Source organism: Homo sapiens, chromosome 7, assembly GCF_000001405.40.
Source record: "Homo sapiens chromosome 7, GRCh38.p14 Primary Assembly".
Taxonomy (NCBI): domain Eukaryota; kingdom Metazoa; phylum Chordata; class Mammalia; order Primates; family Hominidae; genus Homo; species Homo sapiens.
Window position 1 is genome coordinate 107,903,418 of NC_000007.14, and position 18,006 is coordinate 107,921,423.

The 18,006-nt window shown below is 35.0% G+C and overlaps 1 protein-coding gene across 4 annotated transcripts in view, besides 1 other annotated feature; it reads left to right on the top strand.

Annotated features, from left to right (window-relative positions):
• DLD (dihydrolipoamide dehydrogenase) overlaps window positions 1-17,781 on the top strand; it is a 30,092-nt gene extending 12,311 nt beyond the window's left edge. For 3 of the 4 annotated variants that reach the window (NM_001289751.1, NM_001289750.1, NM_000108.5), the window contains 10 exons: window positions 61-130; window positions 1,541-1,641; window positions 1,944-2,087; window positions 2,850-2,951; window positions 12,089-12,279; window positions 13,377-13,547; window positions 13,856-14,045; window positions 14,507-14,644; window positions 15,593-15,682; window positions 15,777-17,781. In NM_001289751.1, coding sequence (NP_001276680.1) covers window positions 61-130; window positions 1,541-1,641; window positions 1,944-2,087; window positions 2,850-2,951; window positions 12,089-12,279; window positions 13,377-13,547; window positions 13,856-14,045; window positions 14,507-14,644; window positions 15,593-15,682; window positions 15,777-15,842 — 1,263 coding nt within the window. In that variant the 3' untranslated portion in view covers window positions 15,843-17,781. The remainder of the gene's footprint in view (window positions 1-60; window positions 131-1,540; window positions 1,642-1,943; window positions 2,088-2,849; window positions 2,952-12,088; window positions 12,280-13,376; window positions 13,548-13,855; window positions 14,046-14,506; window positions 14,645-15,592; window positions 15,683-15,776) is intronic. The other variant, NM_001289752.1, reaches the window with a different exon arrangement.
• Window positions 14,636-15,035: an enhancer, noted in NCBI's record as "active region_26499". NCBI's record gives its function as "activates an Ori minimal core promoter by ATAC-STARR-seq in GM12878 lymphoblastoid cells {active_cell/tissue: GM12878}" and the evidence as "EXISTENCE:reporter gene assay evidence [ECO:0000049][PMID:35858748]".

Consider the following 18,006-nt stretch of genomic DNA (forward strand, 5'->3'; position numbering starts at 1 on the left):
TTGATTATTTGAAGTCTGTTTATGAATATTTGATAATTTGATCTTTTTAATTTCCTTTAGGCTTTATTGAACAACTCTCATTATTACCATATGGCCCATGGAAAAGATTTTGCATCTAGAGGAATTGAAAGTAAGTATACTTTTCATGCTTAATGATATTACCAGACTGCTTGACTTGGCTCTTCTGTCTAAAGACTTAAATGTGTCTAACGTACGCATAATAGATGTTTAGTGAAGGAAGAGTAAAATAAATAATCTAAAAAATGTGGAGAGATTTACTTAAAAAAGAAGGCCTAAATCCAGATTTCTCCCAGCCAAGTATAACCAAGCCTAACCCTGCAAATCCAGATTTCTACCATTATATCTTCTGTTCCTTTGCCAACTTTTTCCTGAGGTTTGCCTTTATGTGTTTTTGAAGAGTCAGTTTTCATTTCCTAAAATCTGGAAATCACTGAGAAGGCTGGATTCCTGAGTACTATGGGGAGATAGAGGAAGGAAGGAAGGCCCACTTAAGCTGTTGATAGTAGAAAAATTAGAGGAGAGAAAGAGTGAGGCATAGCGGAAAAGGAAGAGGACATTTCATAACGTATCTTGTCTCCTGACATACTTTTTGAGCTGTTTTAATCTTTTGTCTCCAATTATTGTTGTTGTTAGATACTTCCAGAAAGGTAGTCTCTTCTGGGCAGGACCTAGTCATAACCTTGGGTTGTTACTTTTCCTTCATTTGTTTCTTTACAGAGGTAGGTTTGAGGGGCTACTTAAGGCAATCCATTGGGTATAGAGATGATGTATATGCACTAAAGCAAATAGAATATCATACTAGTTGAAAAATGGAATGACGTAAAGAAAGAAGAGCTAGGGGTAGTCAGGAGACCTGCATTGTAGGCAAGGCTTTTACATCCTAGCTCTGTGACCTTGGGTAAATCAGAAATCTCTCAGAGTCTCTTTTTCCTTATCTCTAATATATGTGTTGGTTATATGAGGTACTTTCTAAGATACCCTTCTTACCTCTAAAGTTTAATTGAGTTGAGCATTTTTATCTAATACTGTTGCTTCAGAGTTCTCTTCTGAGTTGAATGAGTGATTAAAACCTAGGTGATTAAACTTTTTAATGTTAAGCTTCTGTATTTGAAATTTTTAAACGTGTATTTTTTATTTGTTTTGTTTCATGAAATCTAGCATTTTCCTTTATTTAAAATTTCAGATGATGTTTTACTTTGTCATTTCTACTTACATATCTTCCAGACTTATAACCATCGTAAAGTGTTCAGAGGATATGTTATCACAGTGGGATATAATGTTTTATTTTGGACTGCCTTTTTACCCAAGGTAGACATTTTATAGTGTTTGATAGGTTCTGTTTCTGTGATACAATGATGTTGGCCTTTTGTCAACTATAATTATAAGTTATTACATTTTGAAACTTTAATACTGCCTTTTATAAGCATTAGGTTGAAATTTTCCAGTTGGTGAGTGAAAAACACTGCATATTGCTTCAAGAATTTAGCTAAGAACTAAAGATTAATTGAACAAATTACAGTGTCCGAAGTTCGCTTGAATTTAGACAAGATGATGGAGCAGAAGAGTACTGCAGTAAAAGCTTTAACAGGTGGAATTGCCCACTTATTCAAACAGAATAAGGTCAGTGTTTAATATTCAGATTTCTGCTTTACTTTGAATACAAATTAAACTTTGCATTATAGAGTGATGATATTTGAACTTGGTTACAGGGGAATATTTATTTAATTTAAAATAGCTTGCTAACCTGAAATAGATTTCCCTGACATATATCACAGATTTTTTTGCTGCACCATGGTGTAGCATTACTAAGTAAGGAAGCATTTTGTTTTAGATAAATTATTTACAGAGTAATTTTTCCTTTGAATGATTTATCAAACAAATTACTTTAAACTTTGTGAATTTATAAAGATTATTTTGTAAAGGTTGTTCATGTCAATGGATATGGAAAGATAACTGGCAAAAATCAAGTCACTGCTACGAAAGCTGATGGCGGCACTCAGGTTATTGATACAAAGAACATTCTTATAGCCACGGGTTCAGAAGTTACTCCTTTTCCTGGAATCACGGTATTTATGCTTCATAATTTACAACCATTACAACTTTTCTTTAGAAATACGTTTTATAAGTTATTTATGCTATTTGTGAACTTTGAGAGATTTCTGACTGAAATACTATATTTTGATGGTCATTCAGCTTTGGGAAGTTACCTGTCTTTATTCTGCAGTGATTCTGACCAGCTATAGAACACTTTATATTAAGATATGTTTGAATACAGTATGAAGTTAAAATTGACCATTGCGTTTGGAATATTGGTGGATAAAATTTAAAGTCAGTGTTTTTAATGGGATTTGATGAAATTAGGTATATAGATACCTCAAAACAAATAAATGACTTAGTATTTTTAGTGATTCTACTGAGATCACAGTTTATAAATACATTTATCTCTTCATATCCTTGGAGGATTGGTTCCAGGACCCCCCTTGGATACCAAAACCCACAGATGCTCAAGTGCCTTACATAAAATGACATAGTATTTGCATATAATCTGCATACTTCCTCCTGTATACTTTAAGTCATCTCTGGATTACTTATAATACCTAATACACTGTAAATGCTATGCAAGTAGTTCCTATGCTGTATTGTTTAGGGAATAATGACAAAAAAACCATGTGTACATGTTCAGTACAGATGCAACCATCAATTTTTTTCCTGAATATTTTCAATTAATGGTTGGTTAAATCTGCAAATTTGGAACCCATGGATATGGAGGGTCGACTGTACTAGGTTTTTTCAAATTATTTTGATTATATCTTTTGTTTTTCTTACAGATAGATGAAGATACAATAGTGTCATCTACAGGTGCTTTATCTTTAAAAAAAGTTCCAGAAAAGATGGTTGTTATTGGTGCAGGAGTAATAGGTGTAGAATTGGTAAGTGTTGTCTTTCTGCCTCTTATTACCTCCTTGGAGTTGGAAGGGACTTAAAGGTCCCCTTTTTGATTTTTTGTATAACATTACAGGCTGATCAGCATTGAGTTTTGCTTAAACACTTCTAGTAATAAAGAGTTTACTTTTGTTTTTTTCAAGACAACCTATTTATGTATTTACTCATTTAGAATGTTCTCCTTTATTTTAGTCTGTTTCCTTGTACCTTCCACCCTTCCATTTCCTAGAACTGGTCGAATTCTTTTTTAATATGACAGCCATTCAGATATTTGAGGACAGCTTTTATCCTGGGCAAATTGCATTCCAAATAAAGATTATTCTCTTTACCATCACATACATGATTTGGCTCTTCCCTTCTCTATCCTCATCTTGATGCCTCTTAACTTAGGTTTTAGAAATGTCAAACTACTTGCATTTCTTTGAACACCATGTTATTTTAGACCTTCTGTCTGCCTTGTTCTCCCTTCTTGTCCATCTGGCAGCTTTCCACACATTTCCAATGACCTCCCTCCATTTTAGAGTCACTGTGCCTTGTAAACACCAGGAATTGCTCTACTTCTGAAATAATAAATTCAGATATTTTATTATGTAACCATGACCTCCTTTCCTCTTTTACTCAGTTATTCATAGTGTACTTTGTACCCTTTTTTAGGTTTTCTAGTCCATAGATCTACTTTTTTGCAATCTTCCCTTTCCAATCTTGACTGCGTTCCTGATCAGCTTAGATGCCATAGTCCATCACTTTAACCACACTCTTACAGATGTCCTTGAGTTGCTTGTCTCACTGTTCTGTCATATCTGCTTGGCAAAACTCTAGTTCGGTTTGAATGCAGCAGTCTGCCTTTTTTATGCTATTTCCAGGCTGTTGACTACACCTGGAGAAAAACACACCCTACTCATTGGTACTTGTATTAATTCTTGGCACAAACCTTAACAAGAACCTCAGCCTTGCTGACAGTTTATTATTTCCTAAGATGGTACACTGCCCTGGTCTCTGCAATGGCCATTTTCATTTTCTACTCTTCTCAAATCTCTGCTTGTATACTGTCTGCTCTGCCTGTGGATGACCTTGTCTTTTAAATATTACATAAAAGAGAAATCAGATGAGAACTCCCTCAAGTTGATGTCCTAAATTTGATAATGCTTTTACCTGTTGTTACACCTATCCTTTTGATTACCTCTCCTATTACTGTGGAAATGCCATTTTCCCTAAGACTAATCCCTTTACTTGTGCTTGGTAGCACATCATCTGCCTTTTCAGAGACTTGGTTTTGTGATTTTTATTCTTGTATTTTTCAGTCTTCAAACTCCTTCCTTTTATTTACAATTTCATGTGCTTCTATGTGTGTACCTGTGATGCATTTGCACTCATTAACACAGGTTTGTGTGCACATAAATGCTCCTTATCTTGGTCCCATGTCCTTCTTGAGTTACCAATTTTGTTCGCACTTTTCCTTCAAAACCCAGCTTCTCAAAAGAGTTGTCCATGCTTTATTTCATCAACTTCCACTCACTCAGTCTATGGCTTGTGCCAATAAATTGCTCTTAGGGCATGAATCTATTTATTGCTCAATCTGTTGGACTAATTTCTTCACTGCTTTATTTGGCAGTAATTAGCATTGCTGATTTTCTTGCCTTTGAAACACTTTGCCTAACTTCTGTGATTTCATATTCTTCCATTTTTACATCTGCTCTTTGGGCTGAATTCTCCATATTATGCAAGTTCCCCTTTCTTAGGCTTCCCTTTAATTGTTAGTATTTTTGTTTTTCTTTTTTTTTTTTTTTGAGTCCGAGTCTTGCTGTGTCGCCCAGGCTGGAGTGCAGTGGCGCGATCTCGGCTCACTGCAACTTCTGCCTCCCGGGTTCAAGTGATTCTCCTGCCTCAGCCTCCCAAGTAGCTGAGACTACAGGCGCCCGCCAGCACGCCCGGCTAATTTTTGTATTTTTAGTAGAGACGGGGTTTCACCATATTGGTCAGGCTGGTCTCGAACTCCTGACCTTGTGATGCGCATGATGGTTCATGTCTATAATCCCAGCACTTTGGGAGGCTGAGGCAGGCAGATTGCTTAAGCCCAAGAGTTTGAGACTAGCCTGGGCAACAATGTGAGAACTTATCTCTAAAAAAATGTAAAAAATTAGTTGGGCATGGTGGTGTGTGCCTGTAGTCCCAGCTACTCAGGAGGTTGAGATGGGAGAATCACCTGAGCCTGGGAGTTTGAGGCTGTAGTGAGCTGGGTCATGCCAGTGCACTCCATCCTGGGCAAAAGAGTGAGACCCTGTCTCAAAAAAAAAAAAAAACCCCAAAACAAAAATCAGCTTTTAAGTTATCTTTTTAGTGAATAATTCTTTCTTCTAAGAAAGCTCAAGTCTTTCATTTTTTGAGTCCTTAGTATAATATATCTACATTTCCATAGTACCCACTAATAATAATACATTGCATTTGTTTGTCTATGGCTGACTTTCCTATAAGACCAAAGCTCCTTGAAGGCAGGACCGAATTTTTAATTCCTATTTGAATCTCCATTGTTTTTCTTAATGTTTAGTACTTAGGTCTCCTAGACAGCAGGTCTGTTATTTTGTCATCAACCTTTGGATCCTGTCTAGTCCGTTAAGAAAACTTGTAATCTAAACATAATGTTCTGGGTTGTAGAGAGTACTTCTTTTGATATGCATAGTATACTTCTTGTAATGTAATGCTTTGAAATCAGTTTAGTTGTTTTTATAAAGCAGACATTGAGCTTATGTTCAGATAAAAACCACATTTTTTTCGCATTTGGAATTCTGATTTTTTAAACCTAAGTGACTTTGAACCTTTATTCTTGCTTTAATTTAATCTTGTTCACTCATACTCATTATTCCAATCTATATCTTAGTCTTGATTCTGTCACTCTTATACTTAACTGCTTTTACTTTTCATAGTTCGTAAATTTTGGAAGTATGACAATTAAGGCATGCAGTCCCATCATCTGATCTGATCTTGGTTAAGCAAACTTCTGTTGTCATTCACGTCATTAGTACAAATTTTTGACCAGGATGAAACATCGAAAGCCATCTGACAGTACAGTCTTTCACCAGTTATAAACACCTTTGATGTTTATTCATCTTCGTTTCTCCATCTCATCTACAAGGATATCATGAGATTTTCTTAAAATTTTTTTTAACACCTTGCTGATATCAAAATATACTACATTCACCAGTCCAGAAACCCTTCAGAAAGTAAGAGTGGTTTATGTGACCTGTTTGGAACACTTGTGGTAGTGTCTACTGATTGTGAAACCAGCTGATTAATAATGTCTTCTAGTATTTAGCAGAATCTCTTCTTTTCCATTTTTGAAAATTTAGGCATATTTGCCTGTCTGCCACCTTTTGGCAGTTCCCTTGTGCTAAGTAAGTTCCCAGAGTTCACTGAGAGTGCCTGTTTTGTCATACTCTAATTGGGTTGATGGGAGAATTAACTTTTTTTTTTTTTTTTTTTTTTTTTGAGATGGAGTCTCGCTCTGTAGCCCCGGCTGGAATACAGTGGCATGATCTCGGCTCACTGCAGCCTCCACCTCCCAGGTCCCAGTTCAAGCAATTCTCCTGCCTCAGCCTCCTGAGTAGCTGGGATTACAGGCACGCACCACCATACCCAGATAATTTTTCTTTGTATTTTTAGTAGGGACGGGGTTTCACCATGTTGGCCAGGCTGGTCTTGAACTCCTGACCTCATGATCCGTCTGCCTCGGCCTCCCAAAGTGCTGGGATTACAGGCATGAGCCACCACACCCAGCCGGGAATTAACTCTTTAAAAATGACCAGTTGTTCTTAATCTTGGGCGTTGCCTCTTGGTTAATAATATTTCTTCTGTTCATTCTACTTTGTTCTCATAGTTGGATAAAACAAGAAAAAAGGAATAACATTTACTTTCTTTTGTTGGTCATTATAATATCTCGAAGCAATAATTCTATTTCTTCATCTCAGCAGTTTTGCTTTAGGTTTTTTATAAGCCTTGAGTCTTTTGACACAATGATTTAGATACCTGTTACTGTATTGAATTAGTTTTTACATGTCTTTTTAAAAACTTATTAGAGAATTTACTGTGTAGTCATGATATCTATTTATTTTCTTGTAAAGATTATTCACATAACTGTATTTTCATTTTTTATATTTTGCCTTTCTTCCATTCCAGTTTAGTGTAGTGTTAAAAAACATCTTTTTTGGAATTGAACAGATTTAAATTTGAATTTCAACTCTGCCTCTTACTGACTTATGTTCTTGTTAATGAGCCACTCTGAACCAGTTGGTTTGTCATCAAAAAGGGGATAAAAATAACTAACTTACAGGAGTATTGCTGGGATTTAATACATTTAAAACACTTAATGCAGTGCCTGGCATTTAGTAAGCTCTAAGTAAGTGGTAGATGCTATTGAGTTTTCCTATCTATAAGTATTTTGAAATCAGTTTTCCTAAAGAGTAGGGCACTTGTCTATGCTCATCACTCCCTACTTTGAATTAGACTCCAAGATGATGTTTCTTATTTCCACACTCCCATTATTTCCCCTCTATTTACTTCTATCCCAGTTTCCAAGAATGGTCCTTTCTTTTGTCTTGTTTGCTTTTTAAACAGCTTTATTGAGATATAGTTCACATATCAGTTCACCCATTTAAAATGTACAATTCAAAGGTTTTTAGTATATTCATAGAGTTGTAGAGCTGTTACCATTGTCTAACTCTAGAACATTTTCATCACCCTAAAAGAAACTTGCTACCCATTAGCAGTCATTCTCCATTTCTCCCTTTGCTCAGCCCCTGGAAACCACTAATTCTACTGTGTCTATGAATTTGCATATTGTGGACATTTCATATAAATGAAATCATACAATATTATTTTGTGTGTGCTCTCTTTACATAGCATAATGTTCTTATGGTTCATCCAAGTTGTAGCATGTATCTATACTTCATTTCTTTATCTGGCTAAATATCTCATTCTATGGATATGGCACATTTTGTTTATCCATTCATCATGGGTGGACATTTGGGTTGTTTCTACTTTCAGACTATTATGAATGACACTGCTATGTCTATTTGTGTACAAGTTTTTGTGTGGTTATCTGTTTTCATTTCTCTTGGGTATATAACTGGATGTGTAATTGTTGGGTCATATGGTAATTATTTTAACTTCTCAAGGAACACCGTTACACTTTTCCATACAATCCCACCAGCAACGTAAATTTTTGTTGCTCTGCTTTTCCACTGACACTTGGTATTGTCATTTTTTTTTAAAAATTGAGCTATTCTAGTGGTTGTGTAGTAGTAACTCACTGTGGGGTTTTTTTTTCTATTTTTATTTTTTAAATTGCTATGTAATAGATGTACTTTTTTCAAGGTACATGTGATAATTTGATATATTCATATAATTAAATCAGGGTAATTAGGCTATCCATCACCTCGAACATTTTTTTAAATGCTAGGAATATTGAATTATTCTCTTCTAGCTATTTTGAAATGTGTAATTGATTGTTACCTATAGTCAACCCTGCATTAACACCAGCTCTTATTTATTCTGTCTAATTGTATATTTGTACTGATGAATCAACCTCTCTTCATTCCTCTTCTCCCCCTAGCCTTCCCAGCCTCTGGTAACCATCATTTTGCTCTCTATCTCCATGAGTTCAGTTTGTTTGTTTTTTTTTTTAGCTCCCACATGTTAGAACATGCGATATTTGTCTTCCTGTGCTTAGCTTATTTTGCTTAACATGCTGTCTTCCAGTTCCATCTGTTCTGTTGCAAATGACAGAATTTCATTCTTTTTTATGGCTGAATAATATTCCATTGTGTATATGTACCACATTTTCTTTGTTTGTCTGCTGATGGACACTTGAGTTAATTCTGTGTCTTGGCTATTGTGAATAGTGCTGCAGTAAACATAAAGCGCAGATACCTCTTCAATATATTGATTTCCTTTCTTTTGGATATATACCCAGTAGTGGAATTGCTGGCTCATATTGTAGTTTTATTTTTAGTTTTTTGAGGAACCTTCATACTGTTTTCCACAGTGGCTGTACTAACTTACATTCCCACTAACAGTGTATGAGGGTTCTCCTTTCTCCACATCCTTGTCAGCATTTGTTATTGCGATCTTTTTGATAAAAGCCATTTTAACTGGGGTGAGATGATAGCTCATTGTGATTTTGACTTGCATTTCTCTGGTGATTAATAATGTTGAACATTTTTTCATACATGTATTGGCTATTTGAATGTTTTCTTTTGAGAAATGTCTATTCGGATCTGGTGCTCATTTTAAAATTGAATTTTTTTGAGCTCCTTATGTATTCTGATTATTAATCCTTTGTCGGATAGTTTGCAAATATTTTCTTCCTTTCTGTGGGTTGTCTCTTTGTGGACTGTTTCCTTGGCTGTGCAAAAGTTTTTTAACTTAATGTAATCCCATTTGTCTGTTTTTGCTTTAGTTGCCTATGCTTTTGAGGTCTTACACAGTAAGTCTTTGCCCAGACCAGTGTCCTGGAGCATTTCTCCAATGTTTTCTTACAGTAATTTCATAGTTTCAGATTTTAGATTTAAGTCTTTAATCCATTTTGATTTGACTTTTGTATATGGTAAGAGATAGGGGTCTAGTTTCATTCTTCCGCATACGGTTATCCAGTTTTCCCAGCACCATTTATCGATGAGACTGCCTTTTCCTCACTGTGTTTGTGGTACCTTTGTTGAAAATGAGTTAGCCGAAAATGTGTGGATTTATATTTGGGTTTTTTATTTTGTTCCATTGGTCTGTGTGTCTTTTTATGCCAGTACTATGCTATTTTGGTTACTATAGCTTTTTAGTAAATTTTGAAGCCGGTTAATATGATGTTTCCAGCTTTCTTCTTTTTATTCAGGATTACTTTGGCAGTTGAATATCATTGGTAGTTTAGTAGGGATTGCATTGAATCTGTAAATTACCTTGGGTAGTATTGTCATTTTAACGATATTAATTTTTCCAGTCCATGAACATGAACTATTTTTTGTGTCCTCTTCAATTTGTTTCATCAGTGTTTTTTAGTTTTTTATTGTATAGATCTTTCACATCTTTGGCTAAATTGATTCTTAGGTATTTTATATTCATTATAGCTATTGCAAATGGGATTGCTTTTTTTTTTTCTTTTTTAGATTGTCCACTGTTGGTGTATATAAATGCTACTGATTTTTGTATGTTGATTTTGTATCCTGCAACTTTACTGAATTAGTTTGTAAGTTTAATAGTTTTTTGGTGGAGTCTTTAGGTTTTTCTAAATATAAGATCATGTAGTCTGCACAAAAGATTAATTTGACTTCTTCCTTTTCAATTCGAATGCCCTTTGTTTCTTTCTCCTCTACAATTGCTGAGGCCAGGACTTCCAGTACTATGTTGAATAAAAGTGGTGAAAAATGGGCATTCTTGTATTGTTCCAGATATTAGAGGAAAGGCTTTCAATTTTTTCCCATTCAGTATGATGTTGGCCATGAGTTTGTCTTATTATTTTGAGGTGTGTCCCTCCTATATCCAGTTTTTTGAGGGTTTTTATCATGAAGGGATATTGAATTTTTATTAAAGGCTTTTTCAGCATCTGTTGAAGTGATCATATGGTTTTTGTTCTTGGTTCTGTTAATGTGATGAATCATGTTTATTGATTTACATATGTTGAATCATCCTTGCATCTCTGGGATGAATCCTGCTTGATCATGGTGAATGATCTTTTTATGTGTTGTTGAATTCAATTCATTGTGGTTTTAACTTAGATTTCTCTAATGACTTACGGGGTTGAGCATTTTTTAATGTACTTACGTGCCATCTCTATATCTTCCCTCTTCAGACATTTGTCCATTTTTTATTGAATTTTTCTTATTGAATTTGGAGAATTCTTTATATATTCTGGATATAAATCCCTTATCAGATAGAAGTTTTGTAATTTTTTTCCCCAGTCTGTGGCTTCTGTTTTTGTGTTCTCAATGTTATCTAAGACTTTCTAATTTTGACAAAGTCCAATTTATCATTTTTCTTTTATGGATTGTGCTGTTGGTGTTACATCAAAGAAATCTTCGCCTAACTCAAGGTCACTTCTAGGATTTCTTCTCCTAGGTGTTCTTCTGGAAGTTTCATAGTATTGGATTTTACATTTAGGTCCATGATCCATTTTGAGTTAACTTTTATATATACGTATTGTTAGATTTTTAGTGTCACTATATTGCCTCTAGTTAACTCAGTCTTCATACTAGAAATTAATGAGATTTTTTAAATGAACGCCCACACCTAATTTAGGGAAGGTAAACTTTTATAGTTCATTTGAATTACCAGATGATTTTAATATACATTCTTGCAAAGGATATGTTCATGGTTTTTCATATTTAATGCTGTGAAATTATGTTCATCTTGCCAGTTATGTATTGTTTAATATATAATTATTTAGAAGTTATACTAATTGTCAAAATGTTAAAATAAACTAGCATTCAGTTTAAATTATAATTTGAATGAAAAAGTAAACATTTGTCCTTTGTTGAGAAAAGAAAATAGGAAGCCAGTTTAATATTCTGCAAACATCAGTGATTTAGTAACCTGTTTCCTTTTCCTCAAGACTTTTGTACTTGCTGTTTCCCTCTGCCTAGAGCAACACTCTTGCCCCAGTTAACTGGGTAGTTCATTGCCTCACTCCTTCAAGTTTTGTGCAAATGTCACTCCCAGTGAGGCTTTCCCCAAACGTGCTATTTAAAATTGTAATCCCAGTAATCAGTGGTCCTAGTTCTACTTCCTGTTTTATTTTTCCTGTAGCACTTTATTCTCTGTTATGAATTTTACATATTTGTCTATGTCCCCTGCCAGAATATAAGATCCCTGAGAACAGAGATTTTTGCTTTGTTTACTAATGTATGCCTAGAAGCTAAAATATTGCCTACCATGTAGTAGATGTTCAACAAATGTTGAATGAGTAAGTTAATAAATGTATGAAGTTATACATATTTAACACAGGGTCAATTTTAAACCTCGGAGCTTCTCATAGGAACATACTAGCGAAAGAAGAAAATGTTTTACAATAAATTATTAAGATGATTTCGTAAACATTTGCTATAGAAACTTTTATGATTATTGGGTTTTTTTAATTTATTTGCAGGGTTCAGTTTGGCAAAGACTTGGTGCAGATGTGACAGCAGTTGAATTTTTAGGTCATGTAGGTGGAGTTGGAATTGATATGGAGATATCTAAAAACTTTCAACGCATCCTTCAAAAACAGGGGTTTAAATTTAAATTGAATACAAAGGTTACTGGTGCTACCAAGAAGTCAGATGGAAAAATTGATGTTTCGTAAGTATACATCATTTGTTTTTGATGTATCATCCCTGTCTCTTTAAGCAAAACACTCAAGTTTCAAAATCAGTTTAGCAAATATAGGGTTTTTTCTAACTTAAGGTCATTTTATTACTTAATATAACTCAGTTGCTTATCAAATTATTGCATTAGCACATTGAAATTTATGATTAGGTTAATGCTAGAAAGAGAATCCAATATTCTCATTGTTGTGCCTTCTTATAGTACATTCAGAAAAATTTAAATTCCCAATAATAAGTAAAATTGAATCAATATTTTTAGGCAGATACATGGGGAAATCAATAATAAAAGATTGCTTACTATATGTCTGGTACTCTACTGATTAAATACTTTAATGGCATTTAACTTATTGAATTAGTTTTTAAATAAATATTTAAATTAAATAGTTAATAGTATTTAAATAGTTTAATGACTTTTACTCAAAGATAAGAAGCTGAATTCATTGACTAATTAATGACTAACTTGTCACACAGCTAGTGGGTGGCAGTCAGTAGTTGAATTTGGATTTCTGTGACTCAAAGACCTGTATTCTTAACTGCTGTTTTATTATACTGTGGTTTTTGTGAGATTTTAATAACAGACCTCTAGATTTTAATGATAGATCTCTTTCATTGTCTGACTCTTATGTTTATATTCAAATAAACTTATATTGTTAAAAATGTCATCAGTGCCGGCTGGGCATGGTGGCTCACACCTGTAATCCCAGCATTTTGGGAGGCTGAGATGGGCAGATCATGAAGTCAAGAGATCAAGACCAGCCTGGCAACATGGTGAAACCCCGTCTCTACTAAAAATACAAAAATTAGCTGGGCGTGGTGGCGCGTGCCTGTAGTCCCAGCTACTAGGGAGGCTGAGGCAGGAGAATCTCTGGAACCTGGGAGGTGGAGGTTGCAGTGAGCCGAGATTGCACCACTGTACTCCAGTCTGGCGACAGAGCAAGACTCTGTCTCAAAAACAAAACAAAACAAAAATGAAAATGTCATCAACACTTGAGAAATTGCTGGCCTTAAATTTCTAAGCCTATCAATTTATGTAGGTGTGTATTTAACATTTATACACTGTTTGTTATCTAGTATTGAAGCTGCTTCTGGTGGTAAAGCTGAAGTTATCACTTGTGATGTACTCTTGGTTTGCATTGGCCGACGACCCTTTACTAAGAATTTGGGACTAGAAGAGCTGGGAATTGAACTAGATCCCAGAGGTAGAATTCCAGTCAATACCAGATTTCAAACTAAAATTCCAAAGTAAGTTGGATAATTGTCTGCATTTTCAGTAATTTTAAAATTGATTTCAAACAGTATTTTGAAAAGTAAGATTTTTATGCTTAAAATATGTATTGGCTTTGGGGAAGAATAGTAAACTTACAAAATGTAAAATAAAAAATAACTGAATTTTACTCAAAGATAAGCTGAATTCATAGATTTTTGAAGAGCTGCATTTGATGTATTTTTTGGTGACTTGTTTACTGGAAACTTTTGTTACCATAATGTAACTGAAGGTAAGTAGCTGTGATTTCAGAAATTCATTGTGTTTCTTTTGATTTCTGTGGTAGTATCTATGCCATTGGTGATGTAGTTGCTGGTCCAATGCTGGCTCACAAAGCAGAGGATGAAGGCATTATCTGTGTTGAAGGAATGGCTGGTGGTGCTGTGCACATTGACTACAATTGTGTGCCATCAGTGATTTACACACACCCTGAAGTTGCTTGGGTTGGCAAATCAGAAGAGCAGTTGAAAGAAGAGGTAAGTCTGAACATGGGTGGTTTTAAGCCAATGTGTGAGTTGTGCCAATGACATTGGTGGTTGAGAAACAGCATTTTATCATTATGCTAATATATTTAACAGCTGTGAAATATTGTTTAGCTTATATATTTTTCCCTTGTTAGCATTATAAAGAGATCATTCACAGATTTATCAGCAGTAATTGAGAGGAAGAGAAGTTGCCTATATTAAAAAACTAGTAATTCCAGATCTTTTATATTTGGCTTTGAAATATAACCAGATGGACAGACATTTGTATTTGCTTGTATTCGTGCCTGAGATATAGTTCATTAACCAGTCTTCTGGTCTTTCCTTTCCTTCTATGTGCTTTGCGAACAATTCCCTTCTTGGGATTTATTTTCTGAACAAATGGTAGATGATTTTACAAATTGGAAAGAACTTTTCTGGCAGTTACGTAGATTCTTTTTTTCTGACTGTCACAGGGTATTGAGTACAAAGTTGGGAAATTCCCATTTGCTGCTAACAGCAGAGCTAAGACAAATGCTGACACAGATGGCATGGTGAAGATCCTTGGGCAGAAATCGACAGACAGAGTACTGGGAGCACATATTCTTGGACCAGTGAGTATTGTAAAACCAGAGAAATCCCATTAAGATTTCTAGAAAGCATTGCTGTTTATTAATTATAAACCACCTGGTGTTAGTCTGAGGTTGCTCATTTCCAGCAAAACTTTGAATATGGCTCTCTGTGCATCATTTCTAGAAGGATACCAGCAGCACTCTCACAGTCTTGCCCACTGTATCATCTACTTTGTCCTGCAGCCAAGATTCTCTCTTTAAAACATACACCAGATTATGCCCCTTAAAATCCTCCAGTGGTGCTTTTCAACTTCAGATTGTTACATCCAAGGCCTCACTGAATCTGTTTGTGCCTACTTCTCTGACCTCTTCTTTTTCTGCTCTCTTTTACTCATTAATGCCATGTCACATGGGCCTTCTCTCATTTTCACAACAGACCAAATATTTGCATTTTAGGGCCTTTGTGCTTAAGATACCCTCTGCTTAGACTGTTCTGCCTCCAGATCTTTGAATGGCTGGCTCCTTATTATTCAGGTCTCAGCTCAAATGTTACCTCCTAAGGGAAGCCTTTCCTACCACTGAGCCTAAAGTATGTATCTTTCTTGTAGATATCTCTTGTATCTGATGTAACAATAATGAGAATAGAATATTTGAGTGCTGTGTCACTTTAGTATACATTTTGTTATTTTTACATCAGCTTTTTGAAATAGGTGCTGTTATTTTTGAGGTGAAGAAACTGAATGAAGCACAAAGAACCAATGAATGGTTAAGGTAGTAAGTGGTAGATATGAATTGAAGGCCCTTTGGCTCCAGAGCCCAAGCTCTTCTGTGTCACCTTTTCTATTAAGCTTTTCCTGACTTTTCTTCAACTGATAAAGAAACAGATTTAAGGCGTTTTTAAGATCTAAAAGCTTCCCCTCAACAATTGCTATCCTATTAGCATGTAGTTTTTGCCTTGGAAGCAAATTTACTTGGCTTGTTATTTTAAAGGGTGCTGGAGAAATGGTAAATGAAGCTGCTCTTGCTTTGGAATATGGAGCATCCTGTGAAGATATAGCTAGAGTCTGTCATGCACATCCGGTAATTATTAACAACATATAGAATTGATGGTTGCCTAAATTTTCTTCTGACCCACAAATATTTGGATTTTAATTTTAAATTTCTTCCCTTGCAGACCTTATCAGAAGCTTTTAGAGAAGCAAATCTTGCTGCGTCATTTGGCAAATCAATCAACTTTTGAATTAGAAGATTATATATATTTTTTTCTGAAATTTCCTGGGAGCTTTTGTAGAAGTCACATTCCTGAACAGGATATTCTCACAGCTCCAAGAATTTCTAGGACTGAATTATGAAACTTTTGGAAGGTATTTAATAGGTTTGGACAAAATGGAATACTCTTATATCTATATTTTACATAAATTTAGTATTTTGTTTCAGTGCACTAATGTGTAAGACAAAAAGCTACTTATTGTAGCATCCTGGAATATCTCCGTCAACTCATATTTTCATGCTGTTCATGAAAGATTCAATGCCCCTGAATTTAAATAGCTTTTTTCTCTGATACAGAAAAGTTGAATTTTACATGGCTGGAGCTAGAATTTGATATGTGAACAGTTGTGTTTGAAGCACAGTGATCAAGTTATTTTTAATTTGGTTTTCACATTGGAAACAAGTCAGTCATTCAGATATGATTCAAATGTCTATAAACCGAACTGATGTAAGTAAACGGTCTCTCACTTGTTTTATTTAACCTCTAAATTCTTTCATTTTAGGGGTAGCATTTGTGTTGAAGAGGTTTTAAAGCTTCCATTGTTGTCTGCAACTCTGAAGGGTAATTATATAGTTACCCAAATTAAGAGAGTCTATTTACGGAACTCAAATACGTGGGCATTCAAATGTATTACAGTGGGGAATGAAGATACTGAAATAAACGTCTTAAATATTCATTTACTGGTTATCATGAGTACGTGTTGAGATGGTCATAGTTTTTTTTATGACTACTTCTAGTGTATATTCTAATTTCTTTTCTAGGCCTGAATGTATCTTTATTTTCATGTTATAGGACAATATTAAGGCATTTTAAAGGTCATCATCCTTTCATCTATTTTAGATACACCTACTAAATGTTTAATATATACTTTTGGAGAAGTACAACATAAGGGAGTCTTTAATCTGTGTTTTCCTTGGCTGGGTTAATGACTGTTTATTTAAAGAGTGTTGTAAAATTGGATGTGTGGTGTTTAAAATGGCCATGTCCTGAGGAAACTTAAGTAACAAAGTACTAAATGCTAAGTAGGCTTTTGCATATTGTAACTAAATTTAAGAATAATTCAGATTAAGTAGTTCTGAAATTTGGTATAGATAGCATAGATTGTCTCATGCTCATGAGTGACATAATGACCCTGGATTCTGTTACATACTTCTAAAGAAAATTGATTGTTGTCTTAGGAGGCAGTTAACTTGGCTGAACACCAACTCCACACTCTGTCTTGTTTGTAGGTGGCAGCAGCTGAAATCTCTTCTCAGTTGTTTTAGCTTTAGCTATGCTGCTGGAAGTCTTTCCCATGCAAGTGTGTAGTTCAGGGGTCAACCAGAGTTTGGGCAGAAGGAAGTCTGCCCCTTCTGTGCCTCCTGTTTTTTGGGGGTTTCCCCTTTATGTTCCAGCTGTTGTGGTTGCCCCATATTCTGCCTTCTGATCCTTAACCAATAAAACTTGGCTTTTGTTTCCCCCTCAAGTGAGAACCCGTTAAAAATGAGACATTGAGCCAGTGCTGTTCACTTTTTAAGTGCCAACTTCCCTCTACTTTCCACTTGTTTATAGTTGTTTCCAGTGCCTTTAGTTTTTTCTAAAATATATTTGTTCAGAGTTTGCAGTTGCTATCAGCAGGAGGGTTGGTCTGATATCTGTGTGCTACTTTGCCATTATTGGAAGTGAACTCTGCATCTTTTTAAAAATTTGAAATCCCGGTATCATGTGAAGTGCTGTTTATGTAAATCTCAACATATCCCTTACTCAGGGAAAAAAAAGTTTTTAGTTAGGGAATAGTGAAATATAATTTAATATGGAATTCTAGCTGTAGAGTTAAATCCATCTTTAAGTGTTTACATTCAGTATGAGAATGCAAATTTATCTGTATGGGGAATAAAGTCCTAGGAATAAAACAAGTTTTAAGTGTTCACTTACTGTTATCTACTAAGCTGTCAATATTTTTGTGGCTTGTGAAGAGTGAAATTAATTGTCCACTTCATTGAACTGATTAAAATTAGTAATTTCAACTGGCTGGGAGCGGTGGCTCACTCCTGTAATCCCAGCACTTTGGGAGGCCGGGGCGGGCAGATCACCTGCGGTCAGGAGTTTGAGACCAACCTGACCAATGTGGTAAAACCCCATCTCTACTAAAAAT